The sequence below is a fragment of the Homo sapiens genome, chromosome 7 (assembly GCF_000001405.40).
Source record: "Homo sapiens chromosome 7, GRCh38.p14 Primary Assembly".
NCBI lineage: Eukaryota > Metazoa > Chordata > Mammalia > Primates > Hominidae > Homo > Homo sapiens.
This window is the reverse complement of record NC_000007.14, coordinates 74,197,710-74,210,004: the sequence shown is the minus strand read 5'-3', so window position 1 is coordinate 74,210,004 and position 12,295 is coordinate 74,197,710. Positions and strand designations below refer to the sequence as shown.

The 12,295-nt window shown below is 50.7% G+C and overlaps 3 annotated features.

The window, feature by feature from the left end:
• Positions 76-125: a silencer, noted in NCBI's record as "silent region_18274". NCBI's record gives its function as "represses an Ori minimal core promoter by ATAC-STARR-seq in GM12878 lymphoblastoid cells {active_cell/tissue: GM12878}" and the evidence as "EXISTENCE:reporter gene assay evidence [ECO:0000049][PMID:35858748]".
• Positions 406-515: an enhancer, noted in NCBI's record as "active region_26141". NCBI's record gives its function as "activates an Ori minimal core promoter by ATAC-STARR-seq in GM12878 lymphoblastoid cells {active_cell/tissue: GM12878}" and the evidence as "EXISTENCE:reporter gene assay evidence [ECO:0000049][PMID:35858748]".
• Positions 6,256-6,345: an enhancer, noted in NCBI's record as "active region_26140". NCBI's record gives its function as "activates an Ori minimal core promoter by ATAC-STARR-seq in GM12878 lymphoblastoid cells {active_cell/tissue: GM12878}" and the evidence as "EXISTENCE:reporter gene assay evidence [ECO:0000049][PMID:35858748]".

The window sequence follows — 12,295 nt, the reverse complement described above, 5'->3', positions numbered from 1 at the left end:
GCGGGCGGGCAGGGCGGGCTTCCTGCCAGCCACTGAATCATCCGTACATCCGCCGCACTGCCGGACAGGCTCAGCTATGAAGAGGGCGGTGGGGGGAAGGGAGGGGAGACGGGGGAAGGAGGCGGGAGAGAGAGAGAGAAGAGAAACAAAGTGAGAGGGAGAAAGAGAAGAAAGAGAGATAGGACCGGGCGAGGTGGCTCACACCTGTAATCCAAAAACTTTGGGAGGCCGAGGCGGGTGGATCACGTAAGGTCAAGAGTTTAAGACCAGCCTGGCCAACATGGTGAAACCCCGTCTCTATTAAAAATACAAAATTAGCTGGGCATGGTGGCATGTGTCTGTAATTCCAGCTACTCGGGAGGCTGAGGCAGGAGAATCGTTTGAACCTCAGAAGCAGAGGTTGCAGTGAGCCGAGATCGCACCACTGCACTCCAGCCTGGGTGACAGAGGGAGACTCCGTCTCAAAAAACAGAAAGAAAAAGAGAGAGACACAGCAGAGAGACACAAGAGAACAGGAAAATATGGACACACACTAAACACACACATAAACACAAAAAGTCACACAGAGAGGAAGAGAGATACACTCCAATAGACAGGGAGCAAGATAATGAAACTGAGGTGCTCCTGCAGATGGCAGATATGGAGACACACATACGCTAAAAAGACACACACAGGCAGAAATTCACACCCATGGGCCGGGCGCGGTGGCTCATGCCTGTAATCCCAGCACTTTGGGAGGCCAAGGCAGGCAGGTCATGAAGTCAGGGGTTCAAAACCAGCCTGACCAACATGGTGAAACCCCATATCTACCAAAAATACAAAAATTATCTGGGTGTGGTGGCGGGTGCCTGTAATCCCAGCTACTCGGGAGGCTGAGGCAGGAGAATTGCTTGAACCCAGGAGGTGGAGGTTGCAGTGAGCCAAGATAGCGCCACTGCACTCCAGCCTGGGTGACAGAGCAAGACTTCATCTCAAAAAAAAAAAAAAAAAGAAGAAGACACACACAGGCAGAAATTCATACCCATGGGCCAGGCACGGTGGCTCATGCCTGTAATCCCAACACTTTGGGAGGCTGAAGCAGGAGAATCACCTGAGGTCTGGAGTTCAAGACCAGCCTGGCCAACATGGTGAAACCCCATCTCTACAAAAAATTTAAAAATTAGCTGGGCATGAGATGGACCAAGACACACACAGAGAGACACACAGAAAGATACAGAGAGCCACAGACTGTCAGAGACACACACAGATGGGGAGAGAGCAAGAAACAGGGAGATAGAGGCCAGGTGCAGTGGCTTGCACCTGCAATCCTAACATTTTTGGAGGCTGAGGCAGGAGGATCGCTTGAGAACAGGAATTTGAGACCAGCCTGGACAACAGAACGAGACCCCATCTCTAAAAAAATTTTTTTAATTAGCTGGGTGTGGTGGCACACACCTGTAGTCCCAGTGTTTTGGGAGGCCAAAACGGGAGGATTTCTTGAGCCCAAGAGTTGGAGGCTGCAGTGAGCCGTGACTCTGCCACTGCACTCCAGCCTGGGGGACAGCAAGACCCTGTCTGTCTGTAAAAACAATAAATAGGCCGGGCGTGGTGGCTCACATCTGTAATCCCAGCACTTTGGGAGGCCAAGGCAGGTGGATCACCTTATTTAGGTCGGGAGTTTGAGACCAGCCTGGCCAAAATGGTGAAACCCCATCTCTACTAAAAATACAAAAATTTGCCGGGTGTGATGGTGGGTGCCTGTAATCCCAGCTACTTGGGAGGCTGAGGCAGGAGAATCACTTGAGCCCAGAAGGCGGAGTTTGCAGTGAGCCAAGATCGTGCCACTGCACTACAGCCTGGACAACAGAGCGAGACTCCATCTCAAAAAAACAAAACAAAAACAAAAAAACCCAAAAAACACAACAAAAAAATTTAAAATAATAATAATTATTATTTAATTAATAGCTCAATGGCCTTGGGCAGCTGTTTAATGGTCAATAGCACAAGGCAGTCCACCCACTTGTGGGATGTGGCTTTATTGACCTCAGGTGCCAGAGCATCCTGGCCTCCACAGGGAACTATCTCACTCGGTCCTCATGTCTGTGTGGATGGCAGCCACGGTGTCCACCCCAGGGCTGGGCACAGGAGCACCGCTGGGCAGGAGTGGGCTGTGGTCCCTCTGCCTGTGCTATGAGCCGTTCTCTGCACCCCGATGCCAGGAGCCTCATCTGTGCAGTGGGGTGATGAGACCCCCAAGGCTGGGGTGGAGCAGGGCTCTCCTTCCTTCTCCCACCCTTTAGCGCCCTCGCTGTCTGCAGCCTCTGACACTCGTGCCGTCCACTCCTCCACCTGTCTTTGGTCACTTGTTCCATCTGCCCTGCCCTCGTGGCCTCTGCAGGGGTCTCTCTGTCCCTGCCCTGCCCACCTACATCCCGCATCCTTTGTCTCTGTGTCCATCTGTCTCATCCTCTGGGACTCTTGCTGTCTGACCCTCTGTCTCTATTCCTCGCCTGCTTTTTTTTTTTTTTTTTGAGACAGGGTCTCACTCGGTCCAGAGGTGAAGCTGAATTTGAACCCAGACCCCAAAGCCTGGCTTCCTCACTGGGACCCCCTGACTGGCTCCTCCTCACACAATGGGAACAAGCCTGCAACAGTTTCCCTTCAGCCCCAGACTGTGCACCTGGATAGAGGTTACCTGCTGTTCTTTCCCCTTTTTTAAAATTTTTTTTGAGATGGGGTCTCACCCGGTCACTCAGGCTGGAGTGCAGTGGTGCAATCTCAGCTCACTGCAACCTCTGCCTCCCAGGCTCAAACGATCCTCCCACCTCAGCCTCCAGAGTTAGCTGGAACCCCAGGTGCATGCCACCACGCCCAGCTAATTTTTGTATTTTTTTTTTTTTGTAGAGACAAGGTCTCACTATGTTGCCCAGGCTGGTCTTGAACTCCTGGCCTTAAGCGATCCTCCATCCTCAGCCTCCCAAAGTGCAGGGATTACAGGCGTGAGGCCACCGCGCCTGGTCCCATTGAACCCGGTGTTTATCCCACCTGCTGGAGACACCAGGGAAGAGCATGACGGTCCCCCACCTCCTATATGTCTGGCATTTCAGAACCTTGGCCCCCAGTCCTGGACGCCTCTAGGCCTGGGACCCTGGCTCTGGGGTCCCACTCTCAGCTTGGGGCTAGGTTTCTCTTTTAGCCTTGGCCGCGGTGTCCCGGCCTGGCCAGAAAGAGGTGGCCGCGGAGACGAGCGGCTAGGCCCGCTGCTGCCACCTCGTGGACAAGGAGGGTAGCACATGCTCCAGAGACCGGTTCTGAGAGATTCTGCAGGCGTCCGTGTCAGGAGCTCACCCTGCCTCCCTCTGTGGCCGGACTAGGACTGAAGCTAGGGCCATCAGACGCCCAGACCTGTGCCTGTGCGAGCAACCGCCACCCTCCCTTGTTCCATCCAGCAATGCCAAGTGCACTGGATTCAGGACCACGTTTCCTTCCCACGGTAACCGGTAAGAAGACAGAGGCTCACAGAGGTGAAGCTGGATTTGAACCCAGAGGCCAAAGCCTGGCTTCCTTGCTGGGACCCCCTGACTGGCTCCTCCTCACACAATGGGAACAAACCTGCATCTGTTTCCCTCCAGCCCCAGACTATGCACCTGGACAGGACTTACCTGCTGTTCTTTTTCTTTCTTTTTTTCTCATTTTTTTTTTTTAGATGGGGTCTTGCTTGGTCACCCAGGCTGGAGAGCGGTGCGGCGATCTCGGCTCACTGCAAACTCTGCCTCCCGGGTTCAAGCAATTCTCCTGCTTCAGCCTCCTGAGTAGTTGGGATTACATACACCTGCCACCACGCCCGGCTAATTTTTTGTACTTTTAGTACAGACGGGGTTTCACTATGTTGGCCAGGCTGGTCTCAAACTCCTGGATTCAAGTAATCTGCCTGCTCGGCCTCCCAGAGTGCCGGGATTACACTGCACCCAGTCTGTTCTGGTTTTTGTTTTTTGTTTGTTTGTTTTTGTTTTTTTTTGACAGGGTCTTGCTCTGTCACCTATGCTGGAGTGCAGCGGCAAGATCATAGCTCACTGCAGCCTCCAACTCTCGGGCTCAAGTGATCCTTCCACCTCTGCCTCGCCTGTAGGTGGGACTACAGGTGCAGGCCACTGTGCTTGGCTCATTTTAAAACTTTGTAGTGATGGGGTCTCACTGTGTTGCCCAGGCTGTTCTTGAATGCCTGGGTTCAAGTGATCCTCCCACCTTAGCCTCCCAAAGTGCTGGGATTACAGGCATGAGCCATCGCACCCAGCCTACCTGCTCTGTTCTAGCTCCCTGCTTCCTTCACGGGCCTGGGCACTGGTAGGTGCTGGAGGGAAATGGTCTGTGAAAGGACCTCATATGCAAAACGATCTTACAGACAGAAGCGTGGTCTTTTTTTTTTTTTTTTTTTTTGAGATGGAGTCTCATTCTGTCACCCGGGCTGGAGTGCAGTAGCATGATCTCGGCTCACCTCTGCCTCTGCCTCCTGGGTTCCAGCGATTCTCCTGCCTCAGCCTCCCTAGTAGCTGGGATCACAGGCACCTACCACCACACCCAGCTAATATTTGTATTTTTAGTAGAGACTGGGTTTCACTATGTTGGCCAGGCTGGTCTCGAACTCCTGACCTCAGGTGATCCACCTGCCTCAGTTTCCCAAAGTGTTGGGATTACAGGCGTGAGCTACGGCACCCAGCCAATAAGTCTGGTCTTGCACAGCTGGGAGAGGGGTAGATCTCTGCACTGTTTTGTCCAGACCCAGGGCTTGCCCGTCATAGGAAAAGAGGATGCATGTTCCAGCAAGATAATGAGAGGCAGCCCTCCAGAACAGGCAAGAATGCTATATGCGTCTCAGTCTATAATTTGTGTGATAGCATCAAGGTTGACATGCTCTTACCCTAGGGACAATAAATAAAGTGGGGGCCCGGCAGAGTGGCTCACACCTGTAATTCCAGCACTTTGGGAGGCTGAGGCAGGAGGATCGAGCCCAGGAGTTCAAGACCAGCCTGGCCAACATGGCAAGACCCGGTCTCTACAAAAAAATTATAAAAATTAGCTGGGCGTGTTGGTGCACCAGGAGCTATGATCGCGCCACTGCACTCCAGCCTGCGGTGACAGAGCGAGCCCATACCCAGGATGTTTTCTGGAATAGATGAGAAGGCGGCAGTGGAGCAATGAAGGGGACTCGCCCCATAACCAAAAAGGAGGAGTTTCACTTCCCCTGGGAAGGGATCTAAACTGGTGACTGGGGGTCAGGTCTTTCCAAAGGCCACCAATAACGCGTTGGGTTGCTGGTCTATTTTCTCTTTGTTCACCCCAGCTGGGATCAGATCGTTGCACATTTGTCTCCAGGTAACAATAACTAGGTGTTGTAGGCTTCCCTTCTTGAGCCCTACAGACTTGCTTCGCCCTTTTCCCTTTGGTTAAGAGCTGGCCCTGGTCTTTATCTCTTCCCTTTCTCCCTCCCTCCTTCCTTTCCCCCCTCCTTCCTTCCCTCCCTCTTTCCCTTTCTCCCTCCCTCCCTCCTTCCTTCCTTCCCTCTCCCTCCTTCCTTCCCTCCTTTCCCTTTCTTCCTCCCTCTTTCCTTCCCTCTCTCCCTACTTCCTTCCCTCCCTCCCTCCTTCCTTCCCTCCTTTCCCTTTCTCCCTCCCTCCCTCCCTCCTTCCTTCCCTCCTTTCCCTTTCTCCCTCCCTCCCTCCTTCCTTCCTTCCCTCCTTTCCCTTTCTCCCTCCCTCCCTCCTTCCTTCCCTCCCTCTTTCCCTCCCTCCCTCCCTTCCTCTTTCCCTCCCTCCTTCCTTCCCTCTCTCCCTCTGCCTCCCTCCTTCCTTCCCTCCCTGCCTCCTTCCTTCCTTCCCTCCCTGCCTCCTTCCCTCCTCTCCTTCCCTCATTCCCTCCCTCCCTTCCCTCCCTCTCCCTTCCTTCCTTCCCTCCCTGCCTCCTTCCCTCCCCTCCTTCCCTCATTCCCTCCCTTCCTTCCCTCCCTCCCTCCTTCCTTCCCTCCCTCCTTTTCCTTCCTTCCCTCTCTCCTTCCTTCCTCTTCTCTTTTTATTTCTTTCTCCTTCCTTTCCTTCCTTCTTCTATCTCTTTTTTTCTTTCCTCTCTCTCTCTTTTTCTTTCTTTCTTTCTCTCTCTCTTTTCCCTCCCCACCCTCTTTTACTTTCTTTTTTTAGAGACAGGATCTCACTCTGTCACCCAGGCTGCAGTGCACTGCTGTGATCTCAGCTCACTGCAGCCTCAGCCAAGTGGGCTCAAGCAATTCTCCCACTTCAGCCTCCAGAGTAGCTGGAGCTACGGGTATGCACCACTGTGCCCAGCTAATTGTCTTTATTTTTTTTTTTTTGCAGAGATAGGGAGGGGTGTCACTCCATTGCCCAGGCTGGTCTTGAACTCCCGGACCCAAGCGATCCTCAGGCCTCAGCCTCCCAAAGTGCTGGGATTACAGAGCTAACGCACCTAAGCCTTCCCTTTAAAACATTTTTTTAAACCCATATCCCTAAAGTTGCCTGGGACATCCTTCCCTTTTAAGAGCAGAACTGCTCCTGCCACAGAAAACAGAAGCCCAATGCTTGCGGCCATCAGCAGAATTATCGGAGAGAGGAAAAACTTTTCAACAGCTGCTGAGAGAAAGTTTAACCACAAGGGGGGGTGTGACTGTGGGACACTGGTGTGGGATGGTATTAGGTTGGCACAAAAGTAATTGTGGTTTTTACCATTACTTTCAATGCACGGCTGCGCCTGTAAATCCCAGATACTCGGGAGGCTGACGCTTGAACCCGGGAGGTGGAGGTTGCAGTGAGCCGAGATCACGCCACTGAACTGCAGCCTGGGTGACAGAATGACACCCTGTCTCAAAAAAAAAAAAAAAAAAGACAACAAACTAGACAGTTCCTGTTCAGTTGCATAAATTCTAGTGCACTTATATTTTTTTTTCCCCACAACTCAATCGTTTTTGGTATATTACATTATTTTTTTGAACTGTGATATAAATAACAAATGCTGGCAAGGATGTGAAGAAAAGGGAACCCTTGTACCCTACTGGTGGGAACATAAATTACTACACCCACTATGGAAAATGGTTTGGAGGTTCCTCACAAAACTAAAAATTGAGCTACCATATGATCCAGCAATCCCACTGCCGGGTATATACCCCAAAGAAAGGAATTTTGTACCTCGAAGAGATACCTGCACTGCCATATTTATTGCGCCACTGTTCACAACAGCCAAGATTTGGAAGAAATCTAAGTGTCCATCAACAGAAGAATGGAAAAAGAAAATGTGGTATTTATACACAAAGGAGTACTATTCAGCCATCCAAAAAGAATGAGATCCTGCCATTTGCAACGACATGGATGGAACTGGAGATTATGTTAAGTGAAATAAACCAGGCACAAAAACACAAACATCAGCCGGGCGCGGTGGCTCACGCCTGTAATCCCAGTACTTTGGGAGGCCGAGGCGGGCGGATCACGGGGTCAGGAGATCGAGACCATCCTGGCTAACGCGGTGAAACCCTGTCTCTACTGAAAATACAAAAAATTAGCTGGGCGTTGTGGCGAGCGTTTGTAGTTCCAGCTACTCAGGAGGCTGAGGCAGGAGAATGGCGTGAATCCAGGAGGCGAAACTTGCAGTGAGCCGAGATCGTGCCACTGCACTCCAGCCTGGGTGACAGAGCGAGACTCCGTCTCAAAAAGAAAAGAAAACAAAGCAAACACAAACATCGCATGTTCTCACTTATTTGTGGGATCTAAAAGTCAAAATAAGTGAACTCATGGACTTAAGAGACTAGGAGGGGCCGGGCGCGGTGGCTCACGCCTGTAATCCCAGCACTTTGGGAGGCCGAGGCGGGAGGATCATGAGGTCAGGAGATCGAGACCATCCTGGCTAACAAGGTGAAACCCCGTCTCTACTAAAAATACAAAAAATTAGCCGGGCGCGGTGGCGGGCGCCTGTAGTCCCAGCTACTCGGGAGGCTGAGGCAGGAGAATGGCGTGAACCCGGGAAGCGGAGCTTGCAGTGAGCCGAGATTGCGCCACTGCAGTCCGCAATCCGGCCTGGGCGACAGAGCGAGACTCCGTCTCAAAAAAAAAAAAAAAAAAGAGACTAGAAGGATGGTTACCGGAGGCTGGTAGTAGAGGCTTGTGGGGGGAGGTGGGGATAGTTAATGGGTACAAAAAAAAGTAGAGCCGGCCGGGTGCGGTGGCTCAAGCCTGTAATCCCAGCACTTTGGGCGGCTGAGGTGGGTGGATCACGAGGTCAGGAGTTTGAGATCAGCCTGGCCAACATAGTGAAACCCTGTCTCTACTAAAAATACCAAAATTAGCCGGGCATGGTGGCGCGCGCCTGTAGTCCCAGCTACTCGGGAGACTGAGGCAGGAGAATCGCTTGTACCCGGAAGGTGGAGGTTGTGGTGAGCCGAGATGGCGCCACTGCACTCCTGCCTGGGCAACAAGATCCAAACTCTGTCTCAAAAAAAAAAAAAAAAAAAAAAAGTAGAATGGGCTGGTGGTGGCTCACGTCTACAATCCCGGCACTTTGGGAGGGGGAGGCGGGTGGATCACCTGAGGTCAGGAGTTTGAGACCAGCCTGGCCAACATGGCGAAACCCCATCTCTACTAAAAACACACAAAAAATTAGCCTGGTGTGATGGCACGCACCTGTAGTCCCAGCTACTCACGAGGCTGAGGCAGGAGAATCATTTGAACTCGGGAGGTGGAGACTGCAGTGACCTGAGATGGCGCCACTGCACTCCAGCCTGGGCAACAAGATCGAAACTCTGTCTCAAAAAAAAAAAAAAAAAAAAAAAAAAAAAAAAAAAAAAGAATGAATAAGTGAATAAGACCTACTATTTCATAGCACAACAGGGTGACTATAGTCAATCATATCTTAATTGTATATTTTAAAAATAACTTAATGTAATCGGATTGTTTGTAACTCAAAGGATAAATGCCTGGGGGGATGGATGCCCGTTCTCCATAATGAGCTTATTTCATATTACATGCCTGTATCAAAACATTACATGTAGCCCATAAATATATACATCTACTATGCACACACACACACACACACAATTTTTTTTTTAGACAGTGTCAGCTCTGGAGTGCTATGGCACGATCTCATTTCACCACAACCTCCACTTCCCAGGTTCAAGCGATTCCCCTGCCTCAGCCTCCTGAGTAGCTGGGATTACAGGCGCTACAGGCGCCTGCCACCACGCCCAGCTAATTTTTGTATTTTTAGTAGAGATGAGGTTTCACCACGTTGGGAAGGCTGGTCTCAAACTCCTGACCTCAAGTGATCCACTCACCTTGGCAAAGTGCTGTGACAGGCATGAGCCACCGTGCCTGGCCCCACAAAAATTTTTAAATTTTAATGTTTAAATTTAAAATTTTTTTATTTTTATTATTATTTTTTGAGACAGAGTCTCACTCTTGTTGCCCAGGCTGGAGTACAGTGGTGCAATCTTGGCTCACTGCATCCTCCACCTCCTGGGTTCAAGCGATTCTCCTGCTTCAGCCTCCCGAGTAGCTGGGATGACAGGCAGGAGCCACCACACCTGGCTAATTTTTGTATTTTTAGTTGAGACAGAGTTTCGCCATGTTGGCCAGGCTGGTCTCAAACTCCTGACCTCAGGTGATCTGCCTGCCTCGGCCTCCCAAAGTACTGGGATTACAGGGGTGAGCCACCACACCCAGGCCTGTTATATTGTATATATTTTATCACCGTTTTTTAAAAAAAATTTTATGCTAGGCCCAGGCTGGTCTTAAACTCCTGACCTCAAGCCATCTCCCCACCTTGGCCTCCCAAAGTGCTGGGATTACAGGCGTGACCACGGTACCTAGCCTCATACATTCCTTAAAGCTGACTAAAGCTATCGTTTTTTTTTTTTGGAGACGGAATCTCACTCAGGCTGGGGTGTAGTGGTGGAATCTCAGCTTACCGCAACCTCCACCTCCTGGGTTCAAGTGATTCTCCTGCCTCAGCCTCCCTAGTAGCTGGAACTGTGAGCCACCATGCCCGGCTAATTTTTGTGTTTTTAGCAGAGATGGGGTTTTGTCATGTTGGCCAGGCTGGTCTCAAACTGCTGACCTTAAGTGATCCATCCGCCTCAGCCTCCCAAAGCGCTGGGATTATAGGCATGAGTCACCTCGCCAAGCCTCTGGTGAGCATATTCTTAACTTCAGAGTATAATGCATGAGAAAGACTTCTACCGATTCCAAGGAATCTAGGTGCAATTTAAAGAATTTCTGGGCTACCTGAAACCCTCCTCTGACACCCCCGCCATCCCAATCTCGTTTAGAAGGACAAGCTCAGCCGCTTACCTCGTCTCCCACGGTGAAGGAAAGAACAGGATATAGGTTATCTGCAGTGTCCAAACCGAGTACCGAAGAACCTGCCGCAGTGAAATAGTGTGCTTTGATTTGTATATTCAGTATTTTACAGAGTTACAGGGTGTTTACAGATGGGGAACAGTAGGTTATAATTTTAAGTACATAGTATTCATTATTTTTCTTTCATGACCAAAACATGCAAAGGGAAGACTTGTTTTTTTTTTTTAGACTGAGTCTTGCTCTGTCGCCCAGGCTGGAGTGCAGTGGCGCGATCTCGGCTCACTGCAAGCTCCCCCTCGGGTTCACGCGATTCTCCTGCCTCAGCCTCCCGAGTAGCTGAGACTACAGGTGCGTGTGCCACCACGCCAGGATAATTTTTGTATTTTTAGTAGAGATGGAGTTTCACCATGTTGGCCAGGATGGTCTTGATCTCCTGACCTCGTGATCGGCCCACCTCAGCCTCCCAAAGTGCTGGGATTACAAGCGTGAGCCACCGAGCCCAGTCTAGGAAAACCCTTAAGACTGGAAGTGTTCATGAGTCTGTCAACCTCACAAATGAGAAAGTGACTTAAAACATCTCAGCATTGGCCTGGCGTGGTAGCTCATGCTTGTAATCCTAGCACTTTCGGAGGCCAAGGTGGGAAGATCTCTTGAGCTTAGGAGTTTGAGAAGAGTCTGGGCAACATGGTGAAACCTCTACAAAAATTGAAATAGGCCAGGTGCAGTGGCTCACGCCTGTAATCCCAGCCCTTTGGAGGCCAAGGTGGGTGGATCCACCTGAGGTCAGGAGTTTGAGACCAGCCTGCCCAACATGGTGAAACCCCATCTCTACTAAAAACACAAAAATTAGCTGGGCGTGGTGGCATGTGCCTATAATCCCTGCTACTAGGGAGGCTGAGGTGGGAGGATCGCTGGAACCCAAGAGGCGGAGGTTGCAGTGAGCTGAGATTACACCATTGCACTCCACCCTGGGTGGCAGAGCATGACTCTGTCTCAAAGAAAAATAAATACAAAATAAAATAAAATCTTAAAACATCCAGCCAGGCGCAGTGGCTCATGCCTGTAATCCCAGCACTTTGGGAGGCAGAGGCAGGTGGATTACCTGAGGTCAGGAGTTCGAGATCAGCCTGGGCAACACGGTGAAAACCTGTCTCTACTAAAAATGCAAAATTAGCCGCGCGTGGTGGCCCATGCCTATAATCACAGCTACTCAGGAGGCTGAGGCAGGAGAATCGCTTGAACCTGGGAGGTGGAGGATACAGTAAGCCGAGATCGTGCCATTGCATTCCAGCCTGGGCAACAAGAGTAAATCTCCATCTCACCAAAAAAAAAAAAAAAAAAAAAAAAAACAAAAACCAAAAAAACAAAACATCCAGATGTGGCCAGGGTCTGACTTCAGAGAAGCCCAGTGAGCCTGGCCCCAGTGACCAGCTCCCTGGGAAGTCTTCCTTCAGGTTTTAGGCCGTTTCACCACCCTAAAGGCAAGGTCAACCCGTGTTCTAGGTTAATCAGCTCTTCTTGTTCTAGACTTAATCTCTGTTAAGTAATGTCCTTCATTGAGAAAACCAGGCTATTCCCTAGAAATCACCAACTAAAAATAGATGTCAGGGCCAGGCATGGTGGCTTGTGCCTATAATCCCAGCAATTTGGGAGACTGAGGTGGGTGGATCACTTGAGGTCAGGAGTTTGAGACCAGCCTAGTCAACATGGTGAAACCCCATCTCTACTATACAAAAATTAGCTAGGCATGGTGGTGGGTGCCTGTAGTCCCTGATACTTGGGAGGCTGACAAGAGGATCATTTGAACCCGTGAGGCGGAGGCTGCAGTGAGCCGAGATCACGCCACTGCACTCCTGTCTGGGTGACAGAGGGAGACCCTGTCTCTGAAACACCGGTCCTCTCTACCACCTACTCTTGGGTAGAAAGTAGTTGAAGCAAAAGAGTTACTCTAGGCTCCCACCTGAACA